Below are 16,297 nucleotides of genomic sequence, written 5' to 3' on the forward strand. Positions count from 1 at the left end.
AGGGAAAAAATGAGTTGGCTGTAAAAAAAAAAATAATAATAACAAGTAATGACAAGGATGTGGAGAAACCCTTGTGCATTGCTGGAGAATACACAAAATGGTGCAGCTGCTATAGAAAACAAAATGGTGGTTCCTCAAGAAATTAGAAATAGAATTCCCATATGATCCAGCAATTCCACTTGTGGGCATGTACCCAAAAGAACTGAAAGCAAGGACTTGAACGGACTTTTGTGTATCCATGTTCATAAGAGCATTATCCACAATAGCAGAAGGTGGAAGCAACCCAAGCGTCCACTGACAAGATGAACAGGCAAACAAAATATGGTGTGTGTGTATATATACTGTATACAGTACAATACTGTACATATATGTATATATGTGTATATATATATACAAACAGACAAATACTGCATGATCTCATTTGTATGAGATATCTAAAATAGTCAAGCTCTTAGAAAGTAGAATTGGTGGTTGCCAGGGGATAGAGGGAGGGGAAAAGGGGGAATTGTTCAATGGATATAAAGTTTCAGTTTTGCAAGATGGAAAAGTTCTAGAGATCTGTTGCACGACAAGATAGTTAACACTAGTATATGGTACACCTAGAAAAAGATTAAAATGGTAAATTTTATGTTATGTAGATTTTACCACCATTAAAAATGTTATTGATTGACTGAATGGAGATGGGGTCTCACTCTGTTGTTCAGGCTGGAAGGCAGCGGTGTGATCAAAGCTCACTACAGCCTTGAACTCCCAGGCTCAGCCTCCTAAGTAGCTGGGACTACAGGAATCCAACAAAAATAACCTTTCTTAATGACCAAAAAATACAGGGGTGGGAGTAGATCAACTGAAGGGAGGCAGTGTTTTTAAAATACGTGGGCATTTCTTTCCTCTTCTCTTCCCCATACTCCCAATTCTGATTTCCTAGGCTTGGGCTGGCATGTCTACTCTGAAAAAAAAAAAATTATTTCCAAGTGATTTCTAATAGGTTACCTTTATCCTCATACTATAGCTGAAAACACAGAACTACAAGTGTGTATCTTTAAGGGTTTGTAAAACAGACTAACTGCAACACAGTTTCTTCTAGCCAAGGAGTACATTTTTTACTTCAATTGGGTGTACAACATTATCTCATGTCCTATTTTACCTTTTGAATAATCATTTATTAAAAAGCTTTTCTTGCAATCACCATCACCTTATGGAGCTTTGGGACCCCAAAACAAGACAACCTATCAGTAGATAGATTAGCTGTAGCTACAGGCCTTCTCCACTTTGACTATAGAGGAGAGCAGTAACAGGAATAAAGGCTAAGAAGAGATAGGGCAAACACTGGGAGACACAGATCTTTCCGTTCCATATGAAAACCGACAAAGCACAGCCCCACGCTTTCCCAAGCTAATTCTTCTCCTGGGACACTGGTTTATCCTACTGGTATGTGTTTTTTTAGAGTCCTACGATCATGATAGCTCACAGTAATCCTACCACAATAATATATCTTGATATCTACCAAGATTTTCCCTTACAATCTGCAATATTAACCTTGTACATAAGACGGCAAAAATGTGACCCAGGAGCCAAGTGCAGTGGCTCACACCTGTAATCCCAGCACTTTGGGAGGCCAAGGTGGGTGAATCACCTGAGCCCAGGAGTTGAAGACAAGTGTGGGCAACATACTGAGACCCTGTCTCTTAAAATAAAATTAATTTTTTAAAAATATGAACTTTAAAAAGAGCACTATTACATCTTTAAATTTTTTCAGAATGCCTGCCTTTTTTTTTTTTAATTATTATTTTTTGAGATGGAGTTTCGTTCATCGTTGCCCAGGCTGGATGCAATGGATGCAATGGTGTGATCTTGGCTCACTGCAACCTCCACCTCCTGGGTTCAAGTGATTCTCCTGCCTCAGCCTCCCAAGTAGCTGGGTTTACAGGCATGCACCACCACGCCTGGCTAATTTTGTATTTCTAGTAGGGACGGCGTTTCTCCATGTTGGTCAGGCTGGTCTCAAACTCCCGACCTCAGGAGATCCGCCCACCTCAGCCTCCCAAAGTGGTGGGATTACAGGCGTGGGCCACTGTGCCCAGCATTTGAATGCCTGTTTCTCTCATAAGAACAGTAGAGAATACTCCTTTGAAGGTAGATTCAATCTGATTCATCTTGGTATTTCCTCAAAGTGCTTTAATAAATGTTTAGTGAACTCATTTAGAGTACCACATTTTAAGAAAATCTTTGATAAACTATTATTTACCCGGGGGAGGAGGTGGAGAGAAGGAAATAGAGCTTGATCACTATGAGGTTATTATCATAGGACAGTTGAAGAAAACAGAGGAAAGCAAACATAAGAAATTACAGTTTTTTAAAACTATTTGATGGGTTGCCATCTGAAAGCAAAAGAAGAGCTTTTCTGGTTTGTTCAATAAGAAATTAGTCTAAAAACACATGGAGGAAGATTTTGGCTGAAAACAGGAAAAAAATTTTTCTAAGAATGAGAGCTGTCCAACAAGCAAAGCAGTCAGAGAAACAAACTTTCTAAGTGCTAAAAGCACAAGTTAGAGAACCAGGGATATTGTTCTCTCAATACAAGGATGGCCAATTTCACTTGTTTTTCACTATTTCCTATCTTACATCTTTTTTTTTTTTTTTTTGAGATAGAATCTCGCTCCGTTGCCTAGGCTGGAGTGCAGTGGTGCAATCTCAGTTCACTGCAACCTCCACCTCCCAGGTTCAAACAATTCTCCTGCCTCAGCCTCCTGAGTAGCTGGGATTACAGGCATGTGCCACTACGCCCAGCTAATTTTGTATTTTTAGTAGAGATGGGGTTTCACCAGGTTGGCCAGACTAGTCTCCCGACCTCAGGTGATCCGCCCGCCTCAGCCTCCCAAAGTGCTGGAATTACAGGCATGAGCCACCACACCCGGCCCTATCTTACATCTTTATCATCAAACAGGGTCCTACTAGGACAAAAACAAAAGGCTCCATTTTTCTCCTAAGAAGGATATTTAAAGATTGTCTTTTAAGGTCTTTGTGATTACAGCCACCTAACGTTTTCTGAATGAGACAGGGTATAAATATATATTTAATAATTGTTGTGAAAATCTAACATCCCAAGTAGATTTTACTTTGTACAACTAGTACTGTAGTTGAAAATCATAAGCCTGATTAACCTTTAAAGTTCCTTCTATGACCTATAAGTAAAATGTAGCAATAGTAATATAGGTATTGACATCTGACCAAATCTGGTACCATTCTGAAGGACTAAAAAATGTTCGCTAAATACCCCATTTCACTTTCTTTTTCTTCTATTATTTTCTGTCTTCTTTTCCTATCTCTATTCTTTTTGCCTTTTCTTTCTTTGCCCACTTTTCTCTTTCTTCCTCTGATTCGTTCTCCTTTCCTATTCTCTTCCTTTCCTTTTTTTCTCCAACTTTTAATTTCCAGGGTACATGGGCAGGTTTTTTACAGAGGTAAACGTGTGCCATGGTGGTCTGCCGCAGAGATCAACCCATCACCTAGGTATTAAGCCCAGGATCCATTAGCGATTCTTCCTGATACTCTCTCTACCCCCACACCCCCGACAGGCCCCAGAGTGTGTTGTTCCCCACGAAGTGGCCATGTGTTCTCATCATTCAGCTCCACTTATAAATGACAGCATGCAGTGTTTGGTTTTCTTTTCCTGCATTAGTTTGCTAAGGATAACGGCTTCCAGCTCCATCCACATCCCTGCAAAGGACATAATCTTGTTCCTTTTTATGGCTGCATTTCTCTAATGATCAATGATGTTGAGCTTTTTTTCATGTTTGCTGGCTGCATGTATGTCTTCTTTTGAGAAGTGTCTGTTCATGTCTTTTGCCTACTTTTTGGTGAGGTTGTTGGTTTTTTTTCTTGCAAATTTGTTTAAGTTCCTTGTAGACTGGGTACTAAACCTTCATCAGATGGACAAATTGCAAAAATGTTCTCTTATTCTGTAGGTTGTTCACTCTGATGATAGTTTCTTTTGCTATGCAGAAGCTGTTTAGTTTAATTAGATCCCATTTACTAATTTTTGCTTTTGTTGCAATTGCTTTTGGTGTTTTTGTCATGAAATCTTTGCCCATGCCTATGGTCCTGAATGGTACTGCCTAGATTTTTTTCTAGGGTTTTATAGTTTGGGGTTTTACATTTAAGTCTTTAATCTATCTTGAGTTAATTTTTGTATAAGGTATAGGGAAGGGGTCCAGTTTCAATTTTCTGCATATGGCTAGCCAGTTATCCTAGCACCATTTATTGAATAGGGAATCCTTTCCCCATTGCTTGTTTTTGTCATGTTTGTCAATAATCAGATGGTTCTAGGTGTGTGGTCTTATTTCTGAGTTCTCTATTATGTTCCATTGGTCTATGTGTCTGCTTTTGTACCAGTACCATGCTGTTTTGGTTACTACAGACTAGTAGTATAAAGTAGGGTAGCATGGTGTCTCCAGCTTTGTTCTTTTTGCTTAGGATTATATTGGCTATTTAGGCCCTTTTTTGGTTCCATTTGAATTTTTAAACAGTTTTTTCTAATTCTGTGAAGAACATTAATGGTAGTTTAATGGGAATAACATTGAACCTAAAAATTACTTTGGGCAGTATGGTCGTTTTTACAATGGTGATTCTTCCCATCCATGAAGATGGAATGTTTTTTCCCATTTGTTCGTGTCCTGTTGAGCAGTGGTTTGTAGTTCCCCTTGAAGAGGTCCTTCACTTCCCTTATTAGCTGTATTCCTAGGTATTTTATTCTCTCTGTAGCAATTGTGAATGGGAACTTGTTAGAAATGAAGAACTGAACTGCATACCCCATAGCAAATCAAAATTTGCATTGTTTTGTTTTAGTTTTTTTGTAGAGACAGAGTCTCTTTATGTTGGCCAGGCTGGTCTCAAACTCCTGGCCTCAAGCGATCCTCCTACCTCAGCCTCCCAAAGTGCTAGAAGTACAGGCATGAGCCACAGCACCTGGCCCCTAGAATCTGCATTTTTAATAAGATCTATTCATGTGAACATTAAACTTTGAAGAATGCCATTCTAACCAGAATTCTTATGTACTCAGAATGGGTTACTGGTGTGCCAAGATATTGATCCTCTTAGTTTTCCAGGTATAAACACAGGTTTATGAAATAGAGATAATAATATGAGTATCAGTCTCAAAGAGTTGACTTATGGTTATAGGGCTTAAATGAGATATTACACATAAAGTATACCATGTTTGACATATGTAAATACTTCATAAATGTTAGCTATTATTAGCTGTTCGTACCCTTTTGTTTTTTTTTGACTCCGTTTGCTTTTTCATTAATAATTTGCGATCACATAAGCTATACATACGAAACACAGAGAAAGTTAACCACCTATTCTAATTCTATATTAAACCATGCGGTTTTTAAAAAGTACATTAAAAATGAAAAAATTAAATGACGAATGTCATGCTATTTCTTACTCTAGATTATACTGCACCCAAGGGCAGGGATGAGGTTAATATTCCTTTTATATACTTATATTACTTGAAGAACCCATTTTGCTCTGGATGGATGTTAAATAAACTGAGCCATAGAATTAATATTACTCTAAAAATAATTTAAATAAATCATGTTAAGACCTCAGAAATTACCAACTTTTCATAATTCATACACTTATTCATTCATTCAATAAATAATTATAGGACCAGACTAAAGTTGAGATGACATTCTTACCTACGCTTTGCCAAATAAATTCAGTAACTTTCTAATTATTTAAAATAAAAGATGAAAGTTATAAATAGTTATTTAAAATTATGATATACACACAAAACTGAAGTTCTAACCAATTTACCTAGGATGTAAGGAATAAATGGAGAGGATGGTCAGACCTAGCACAATACTGAGCAAGGGCTCAGTCAACATCTGGCTGCCAGGAAGCTGACAGAAAACAGAAACGCAATTCAAAAGGAGACCACAAACCTCTTTGTCAATGGCAGTGGTATGCAACTGGGCCTCTGCGAGCTCACAGTCAAGAGCTCTTTGTAGGCTGTATATGACGTGGTCATATGAATGGTGTTCATCATTGAAAAGGACACAATAGTATCTTTCATTTTTCTCCCTGTTAGAAAAAAAACATATATATTTGGATACTACAACAAATAAAGGAAAAGTAAAAAAAAAAAAAAAAAAGACAAAATTAATACATAACATCTGTGTAGTTTCCAACCTGTGGGAAAGTAACACCATAAAAGTAATATAGAATTTGATTTTTTTTTTTTTTTTTTTTTTGAAACAGGGTCTCACTCTGTCACCCAGGCTGGAGTGCAGTGACGCAACCTCGACTCACTGCAACCACTCCCTTCCAGGCTCAAGCAATCCTCCCACCTCAGCCTCCTAAGTATCTGAGACTGCAGGCACGTGTCACCACACCCCAGCTAATTTTTGTATTTTTTGTAGAGATGCTTCGCCATTTTCTCCAGGCTGGTTGCAAACTCCTGAGCTCAAGCAATCCGCCTGTTTTGACCTCCCAAAGTGCCAGGATTATAAGCGTGAGCCACTATGCCCAGCCCAGAATTTGATTTTAAGTGGTATAGTGCCATCACTTTTTAAAACTCTGATAAAAATGTTTCCTTTTCCATGTTTTTCCCCCAATTTTTCATATTACTTTCAAAAGTCTCAGTTCAGTGACCGTATGTTTTTGGGTTTTGTTTTGTTTTGTTTTAGATGGAATCTCACTCTGTCACCCAGGCTGGAGTACGGTGGCGCAATCTTAGCTCACTGCAACCTCCGCCTCCCGTGTTTAAGTGATTCTCCTGTCTCAGCCTCCTGAGTAGCTGGGATTACAGGTGCCCACCACCACACTTGGCTAATTTTTATATTTTTAGTAGAGACAGGGTTTCACCATGTTGGCCAAGCTGCTCTTGAACTCCTGACCTCAGGTGATCCACCTGTCTCGGCCTGACTGTATGTTTTTAATACTACCCTTAACTCTTGCTTATCTCCTATTCTGACAAAAGGAGACAGGCCTCAGGCTCAGAACCTTGAAGCAAGCAATGATAAATAAACAGATTTTATTAACAATTAGTTGTTATTGAATTTATTTTTGTTTTTACCTTCTATTTAAGTGATACTGGTATTAATGTACATTTAAGTTAGTTTCAAGAAGTATACAGTATAGACTTAAGCGCCAGCACTGCCATTTTGGCAACAGGACCTTAAGACAGCTCACCTAATCTTTTAATCTTGCTGAGATGACAGTGCTTTTTCATCTCCAAAAGGAACATAATATCTACATTCAAGAGTGTTATGAGGATCTCACAAGATATGTAAAAACAGCTGCCACGGGCTACATATGTGTTCAGTATTTTTTTTTTTTTTTGAGACGGTCTCGCTCTGTCACCCAGGCTGGAGTGCAGTGGCGCAATCTCGGCTCACTGCAAGCTCTGCCTCCTGGGTTCACGCCATTCTCATGCCTCAGCCTACCAAGCAGCTGGGACCACGGGGGCCCGCCATGATGCCCAGCTAATTTTTGTATTTTTAGTAGAGACAGGGTTTCACCATGCTAGCCAGGATGGTCTCGATCTCCTGACGTCGTGATCCACCCACCTCGGCCTCCCAAAGTGCTGGGATTACAGGCGTGAGCCGCCGCGCCCGGCCTATGTTCCCAGTTTTAAACAATATGTAATATACTTTTACAATACGCTCAATTGATCCTCAAAACTCTGAGGGGCATATTTTCTCAGCCCTCTTATGTTTTAGAAAACAGAGACTAAAGGGGTTAAAAGGCCAATATGTCATGGTCACAATGCCAACAGGCAATGAGAGGGCCTAGAACTCAGATGTGTGAACCCAAAGACCCGTGCTACCCACATAAAAAATGACACTCAAGCAATCCTCGTTTTTTTATGGGCAGATGGCTCATATTATGTTTACCAACATAAAGTGACTTAAAAGGTTTAACTGACATTAACACCTGTTGGAAATTAACATATTTGTGGATGCAGTTTGTCATGACATTTATTTCCACAAGTGGTTTTTAGCCTAATAAGAGTCAAAATAGTACATTTAATGTCTCTATTGATTAGAATTCTTACTTCTTTCTCCCTTTAAAACAAAACAAATGAAAATAGCCAGTAAACTCAAAGAATGACTATTTAGATTTGGGCTGCAATTTTGTGAAAATCCTAATATTACATAGGTAGAAAAATTCTCACACAACTCAAAGTTATCTTCATATCAGGTCCAGAATTCCTCTTTGCATTTATAAATTAAGAGCAAATATTACTGTCACTGAAAGACTTATGGCTACCAGAAATTGCTGAGTTCTAGCTAAAAAAAAAAAAAAAAAAAAAAAAAAGCTACATCCCTATAATTTCAATAATCCTAGATACCACCAAGGCACAGGGGAAAGGGCCATTTCCTCATTCCCATCAAACTTTTCTTGATCAGGACAAGAGCTAAAAACCCGGGCTAAATGGAGATACACTGTTCCAAAGTCCCTATCTTTGTTAACGAACCTCCTGAGGAAACCAGACATTAGTCCAGGCCAGGATCAAAGTGGGCAGTTTACTTACCTAGTGGGATGAGAGGCTGCTAGGTCCTTATAAATCATTTAGAACAGGACCCCAAAAATGTTGATTTTTTTTCCGTAAAAATTCAAAGCTCCTGATACACTACTCTTTTGGCTTAGCTTCTGGATGGTGCCTAGCAAAGTATCTCATACAAACGGACATTTTGAAATATTCCCAAGAGATAAGTCACTAAGAATTTTTCATAATGATAATTAGGCAGTAAATAACAAAAACAATTATCAAACACACATTTTGCAATACAAATAACCATCACTAAAACTTGTTCCGTTTGACAGTTTTCCCCACCTTATCTGGAGTTCAGGAGGCAGTTCTTTTTCCTCTTCCCATATAGTCATTTCTACGACATATTTTATCACTGAAGGAAATATTTTCCTGGCTTGGACAATTACCTCTTCATTCAACGGACAGCGTGAATTCTATAAAAAAGCCGAGAAAAACATACTAGTCAAGATTGTATACAAATAAATGGATAAGGAAGGTAATGTTAAGTTAAAATAATCACTTTGCTGAATTCATTACAACATCGTCCAGGAATGAATTCAAGTTGAGCTCAAGAGGGTTGCTATATATTTAGATCAGTTTAGCTTAACCCCTTGTGGCCAAGTTGGTGTTACTGATGACAGAAAGGAGGCAGAACCATGAAGTCTCCCCATTAGTGATATACTCTCTTATGAATGTTCCTACCTGCCTTTCTGAGTAGCTAATTACGATGATATCACGTAACAACTGTTTATCCCTTATAGCTTACAAAGACTTTTCTCACAGCTTGTTTCCCCAGATCCTCATGGCTCTCTCTAAGACAGAACAGGTATTAATGACATTGAAAAGAAATAGAACCCAGCCAGTCACAGAGGGACAAATACTATATGATTCTGCTCATACGAAGTATCTAAAGTAGTCATAATAATAGAAGCAGAAGATAGAAAGGTGGTTGCCAAAGGCTGGGTGTAGGCAGAAGGTTGTTCAGTGGGTAAAGAGTTTCAGTGTCACAAGATGAAAAAGTTCTTAAGATCTGTTACACAACAATGTGAATATACTTAATACTACTGAACGCTATATCTACACTACTGAACTATATTCTTAAAAACGGTTAAGATGATAAATTAATGTCATATGCTTAACCATAAAAAAAAAGATAAGGAACCCATCTAAGATCACAGAGCTTACAAATAGCAGAAACATGACTAAAATCTGGGTCTTTTGACTCCCACAAAAAAGCAATGTTCTTTTCATTACAAAACATTAATAAAAAGCTTGTTCAAGCCAATGAGTTATGAAATCCATTTGAATGCTCCATATCATAAGCCATCAGGGAATGCAAACCCAAATCACAATGAGATACCACTTCACAACTACCTAGGTGGCCATAACAAAAAAAGCAGAAAATAACAAGTATTGGCCAAGATGTAAAAAATAATGTAAAAAGATCAGCAAGATTGCAGGATACAAGATAATGTTACAAAAATTACTTGTATTTCCCTCCCACCTCAGCCTCCTGAGTAACTAGGACTATAGGCATGTGCTACCACACCTAGCTAATTTTAAAATTTTTGTAGAGATAGGGTCTCCTGGCCTCAAGTGATCCACCCACTTCAGCCTCCCAAAGTGCTGGGATTACAGGCATGAGCCACTGCACCCAGCCACCATAATAAGCTTTTCATACGATATAAAATGAAGTACATAGTTTTAACATCTAAAAATCAATCAATGTAATACACCATATAAACAGAATAAAAAATGACTCTTTATGGATTCTTTAGGATTTTTCATATACAAAATCACAGTTGCCCAGGTTGGTCTCTAACTCCTGGTCTCAAATAAGCCTCCTGCCTGAGTCTCCCAAAGTGCTGGGATTACAGGCGTGAGCCACCAGTTGTGTGTATTTTATGGCCGAAGATGTGTATATTTTATGGTTGTAACTGATAAAACAGACTGGTGTCTACAAAATCACGTCCTCTGCAAACAGAGCTAGTTTTACTTCTCCCTTTCCAACGTGGATGCCTTTTACTACTTTTCTTCCCTAAATTCCTTGGTAGAACCTCCAATACAATATTGAACAGATATAGCAAAAGCAGACATCCTTGTCTTGTTTCTGACTTCAGGAGGAAAACATCCACTGTTTCAGCATTAACTATGATATTAACTGTGAGTTTCTCATAGATGTCCTTTATCAGGTTGAGGAAGTTCCCTTCTAAGTTTGTTGAAATATTTTTATCCTGAAAGGGTACTGGATTTTGTCAAATGTTTTTGCTACATCTACTGAGATGATAATGTGGTTTTTATTATATTTATATGGTGTATTACATTGATTGGTTTTCAAATGTTAAAACTATGTACTTCATTGTATATCATATGAAAAGCTTATTATGCTGGCTGGGCGTGGTGGCTCACACCTGTAATCCCAGCACTTTGGGAGGCCGAGGCAGATGAATCACTTGAATCCAGGAGTTCGAATCAGCCTGGCCAACGTGATGAAACCCCATCTCTACTAAAAATATAAAATTAGCCGGATGTGGTGCCATACGCCTATAATCTCAGCTACTCGGGAAGCTGAGACATGAGAACTGCTTGAACCCAGGAGGTGGAGGTTACAATGAGCCGAGATCATACCACTGTACTTCAGCCTGGGCGACTCTGTCTCAAAAAAACAAAAAAAACAAAAACAAAAACAAAAGCTTATTATGCCATATCACTTCATTATTAATGATGATGTTAATATTAATGACTGATTTCAGGTGATGACAGTATGATAACCCCATTGTAAAGTTTCAGTTTTTTCCCCTTATGACTAGCAAATAATCAATAATTTAGAAGTATGTAAATGTAAATACTGTTCCTCATCAACCTAAGTCTTAAGAATTTTAGCATCCTTGTCTGAATCAAATATTTCCTTATGGTTGACAAAATGTTGATTTTTCTAGTTCTATCATTCCTTGTCTAATAGCTAGCATTTCTCTAGAAAGAAAAGCTTTTCCTAATGAACTAGAGATACTTGGTTACCATGAAATACAATTCTTATTGAAAAGGCAGGATAAGCGCTTACTTCATTCCCTTTACCAATTTTAATAGTAAGAAATTGATAGTACAGCTACTTGTCATTGTCAGAAACAGGTTTTACTTCATCTAGCTCTCATTTAGGTTTCATTAGGAACTCACGGATTTTTATATATTCAATGTGATTCAATCAATTATATTGGTTATTTATTGTTTTTTCTTTTGATGCTTCAATTATCCAAGTAAGGTCAATGTGAACCTTTTCAAGCTGGGTCCTACGTTCTTTTGCATGAGCTTGCCTTATACTTCCCCTGACCCAGACCTGGAACCAGGTATTTCTGACAACAAGAAATACCTTATTGCTGTAAGAGCAGAATGGTACTTAAAAGATCAACATATGTGCCCTACAGGTGTTTGCTGCTTTAGGGATATCCACAACAGTTTAAAGAGCGCAAAAACTATTTATTCCTTGAAGTTGTGAAATAATTCATCTGTAAAACTTCTGAACATGGCATTCTGGGGCAAGTACTTTCTTGTGAAAATTTTCTGAATTTCTTCAATGTAACTGACCAAGTTTTCTCTCTGCTTTCTAATAAAAATATTGCACTCTATACTATCTGATAAGATAATCCATTTTCAAGTGTAATTGCACAAAATCATTAAAAGAGTATTTTATAATCCTCGTGATTCCTTCTGTATTTGTGATTCTATGGTTATTTTCCTATTCTCATTTCTAATTGTCTATATCTGGGCTTGCTCAAACTTCTTTATTTCCTTGACTGGGATATATCTATGTAATCTAATTGACATTTTCTTTAAGAAAAGCAATTACTGAATTTATATATCAGCTCTACACTTCTAATTCACTATATGCTACTCTTATCTATTAATAATTACTTCCTTTTGTTCATTTAGGCTTATATGTTGTGTACTATTTTCCTTTTTGAGATAGTCTCACTCTGTCGCCCAGGATGGAGTGCAGTGGCATGATCTTGGCTCACTGCAACCTCCACCTCCCAGGTTCAAGTGATTCTCGTGCCTCAGTCCCCCCAAGTAGCTGCAATTACAGGTGTGTGCCACCACACCTGGCTAATTTTTGTATTTTTAGTAGAGACAGGGTTTCATCATGTTGGCCAGGCTGGTCTCAAACTCCTGACCTCAGGTGATTGAGCCTCCCAAAGTGCCAGGATTACAGGCATGAGCCATAGCGCCCGACCTGTGTACTCTTATGTATCAAGTTGATTGCTTAACAAAACATATTCTGAATTCATCTTTTCATTGTAAATTCATTCTCTCTTTAGAGACATTATCAAATCCTTAGTTTCTTTGGAGCTAGAAAAAAAGCCTCCTTACACCTAAATATGAGAATAAAAACAGCAGGGTTCTAACTGGAATCTATACACATAACATTTATTCTTATCTAATCTCAGCAAACTTAAAATAGTTAACAATTTTTAACAAAATAGCATTCTTACCTCTTTTATAGTACCTGCTCTTCCAGGTTCATGATTTACACAAAAAGGGCCAGTTTTCCATGCCTCTGTGTCTCCACAGTCACAGAACCCTCCTCCAGTAGAAGTATGCATCTGATAAAGGAAAAATGAGTTTGTCTTGATTTCAAACATTTTACTAAGCATGAAGAATGATAAAGATGACTCAAATAATAAATGCTCACCAATACTCCAACCTTAATTGAGTTCAATGTAATATTAACTGGATGTAACAAAAACCATTTTCGATTAGTTACCTAAAAAACAAACCAACAAACCAAAACTTCCAAATTCTGAATACTTCATCATAACAAAAATGAACTGCCAAAATTGATAAGCTTTTGAAACATAACTCTAATTTTTAAATAACAGTTGTTTAAATTTTGACTAATGGAGAAGAATAGATTGCAAAGTGTGCGAAAATAATCTATACAACACCTAGAATTTTTTTTTTAATTGTTATACTTTAAGTTTTAGGGTACATGTGCACATTGTGCAGGTTAGTTACATACGTATACATGTGCCATGCTGGTGTGCTGCACCCACTAACTCGTCATCTAGCATTAGGTATATCTCCCAATGCTATCCCTCCCCACTCCCCCCTAGAATTTTTGAGTGATAAGATTTTTTTTTTTTTTTGAGATGGAGTTTCGCTTTTGTTGCCCAGGCTGGAGTGCAATGGCGTGATCTTGGCTCACCGCAACCTCTGCCTCCCGGGTTCAAGCGATTCTCCTGCCTCAGCCTCCCAAGTAGCTGGGACTACAGGCATGCACCACCACGCCTGGCTAATTTTGTATTTTTAGTAGAGACGGGGTTTCTCTACGTTGGTCAGGCTGGTCTCAAACTCCCGACCTCAGGTGATCCGCCCGCCTCAGCCTGCCAAAGTGCTGGGATTATAGGCATAAGCCACCATGCCCAACCTGATAAGATTTTTTTAATTAAACAAACTTAAAAAAACTCATGCCCTCTCCCTCTCCCTCTCCCTCTCCCTCTCTCCACGGTCTCCTTCCATGGTCTCCCTCTGATGCCGAGCCAAAGCTGGACGGTACTGCTGCCATCTCGGCTCACTGCAACCTCCCCGCCTGATTCTCCTGCCTCAGCCTGCAGAGTGCCTGCGATTGCAGGCGCGCGCCGCCACGCCTGACTGGTTTTCGTTTTTTTTTTTTTTGGTGGAGACGGGGTTTTGCTGTGTTGGCCGGGCCAGTCTCCAGCCCCTAACCGCGAGTGATCCGCCAGCCTCGGCCTCCCGAGGCGCCGGGATTGCAGACGGAGTCTCGTTCACTCAGTGCTCAATGGTGCCCAGGCTGGAGTGCAGTGGCGTGATCTCAGCTCGCTACAACCTCCACCTCCCAGCCGCCTGCCTTGGCCTCCCAAAGTGCCGAGATTGCAGCCTCTGCACGGCCGCCACCCCGTCTGGGAAGTGAGGAGCGTCTCTGCCCGGCCGCCATCCCATCTAGGAAGCGAGGAGCGCCTCTTCCCCGCCGCCATCCCATCTGGGAAGTGAGGAGCGTCTCTGCCCGGCCGCCCATCGTCTGAGATGTGGGGAGCGCCTCTGCCCCGCCGCCCTGTCTGGGATGTGAGGAGCGCCTCTGCTGGGCCGCAACCCTGTCTGGGAGGTGAGGAGCCTCTCTGCCCGGCCGCCCCGTCTGAGAAGTGAGGAAACCCTCTGCCTGGCAACCGCCCCGTCTGAGAAGTGAGGAGCCCCTCCGTCCGGCAGCCACCCCGTCTGGGAAGTGAGGAGCGTCTCCGCCTGGCAGCCACCGCGTCCGGGAGGGAGGTGGGAGGGGGTCAGCCCCCCGCCCGGCCAGCCGCCCCGTCCGGGAGGTGAGGGGCGCCTCTGCCCGGCCGCCCCTACTGGGAAGTGAGGACCCCTCTGCCCGGCCAGCCGCCCCGTCCGGGAGGGAGGTGGGGGGGTCAGCCCCCCGCCCGGCCAGCCGCCCTATCCAGGAGGTGAGGGGCGCCTCTGCCCGGCCGCCCCTACTGGGAAGTGAGGAGCCCCTCTGCCTGGCCAGCCGCCCCGTCGGGGAGGGTGGTGGGGGGGTCAGCCCCCCGCCCGGCCAGCCGCCCCATCCGGGAGGTGAGGGGCGCTTCTGCCCGGCCGCCCCTACTGGGAAGTGGGGAGCCCCTCTGCCCGGCCACGACCCCGTCTGGGAGGTGTGCCCAGCGGCTCATTGGGGATGGGCCATGATGACAATGGCGGTTTTGTGGAATAGAAGGGCGGGAAGGGTGGGGAGGAAATTGAGAAATCGGATGGTTGCCGGGTCTGTGTGGATGGAAGTAGACATGGGAGACTTTTCATTTTGTTCTGTACTAAGAAAAATTCTTCTGCCTTGGGATCCTGTTGATCTGTGACCTTATCCCCAACCTTGTGCTCTCTGAAACATGTGCTGTGTCCACTCAGGGTTAAATGGATTAAGGGTGCGAGATGTGCTTTGTTAAACAGATGCTTGAAGGCAGCATGCTCGTTAAGAGTCATCACCACTCCCTAATCTTAAGTACCCAGGGACACAAACACTGCGGAAGGCCGCAGGGTCCTCTGCCTAGGAAAACCAGAGACCTTTGTTCACTTGTTTATCTGCTGACCTTCCCTCCACTATTGTCCTATGACCCTGCCAAATCCCCCTCTGGGAGAAACACCCAAGAATGATCAATTAAAAAAAAAAAAATCTGAGAAAAAAAAAAATAAAAATAAAAATAAAATAAAAAAACTCATGATGATTACATAGTACTTAAGAAATGTATAAAGTATTTTAATTTACACAAATATCCCATAGCAACTAAAACTTATTTATAAACTTTATCCTTTCAGTGTTGTTGAAAAAAAATTATCCAAAATATACTACCTCAGGTAGAGGATGATGGCAACAACCTGATTTTGAATCTTCCTCAAAACTTCCTCCAAAACATAAAAAGAATAAGGAGAACACTAAAACCATACATTATCCATACTTTCAGCATTTACTAGGAGAACAACAAAAAAAATTACCACAACGTTCATATGACGTACTCCAAAGGAATTCCCATTGCCTATCCCTTCAAGCCTGTGGGTGCAGATAGCAAGAGAAGGGAGCTTAAAAGACTCCATGAAAAAGTACAGAGGTGCAGAGGACTTAGAAGAAACACTGAAACACAGAAAAAAGTCACCCCCAAAAGAGAAAGCCCAATGCTAAGGGATGAAACCTGAACATGAGTTGGGACTTGATTCACAAAGAAAGTGAGAAGGACAAGAGGTGGCAAACTCAGAGAAGCAGTACTT

General features: G+C 40.4%; 1 protein-coding gene across 1 annotated transcript in view, besides 2 other annotated features; it reads right to left on the minus strand.

Moving 5' to 3' along the window:
• The window catches only part of UBR1 (ubiquitin protein ligase E3 component n-recognin 1), a 163,142-nt gene that overhangs the window by 119,056 nt on the left and 27,789 nt on the right, over positions 1-16,297 (minus strand). Inside the window, exons 4-6 of the mRNA NM_174916.3 lie at positions 13,027-13,137; positions 8,843-8,973; positions 5,946-6,084 (exon numbers count right to left, since the gene is read on the minus strand). Of these exons, the coding sequence (NP_777576.1) occupies positions 5,946-6,084; positions 8,843-8,973; positions 13,027-13,137 (381 nt within the window). The remainder of the gene's footprint in view (positions 1-5,945; positions 6,085-8,842; positions 8,974-13,026; positions 13,138-16,297) is intronic.
• Positions 5,928-5,987: a silencer, noted in NCBI's record as "silent region_6380". NCBI's record gives its function as "represses an Ori minimal core promoter by ATAC-STARR-seq in GM12878 lymphoblastoid cells {active_cell/tissue: GM12878}" and the evidence as "EXISTENCE:reporter gene assay evidence [ECO:0000049][PMID:35858748]".
• Positions 14,753-15,560: an enhancer, noted in NCBI's record as "NANOG-H3K27ac hESC enhancer chr15:43368903-43369710 (GRCh37/hg19 assembly coordinates)". NCBI's record gives its function as "activates a minimal SCP1, AML or CMV promoter by ChIP-STARR-seq in primed H9 embryonic stem cells {active_cell/tissue: H9 hESC(primed)}" and the evidence as "EXISTENCE:reporter gene assay evidence [ECO:0000049][PMID:30033119]".

This window comes from Homo sapiens, chromosome 15 (assembly GCF_000001405.40).
Source record: "Homo sapiens chromosome 15, GRCh38.p14 Primary Assembly".
NCBI classification, from domain to species: domain Eukaryota; kingdom Metazoa; phylum Chordata; class Mammalia; order Primates; family Hominidae; genus Homo; species Homo sapiens.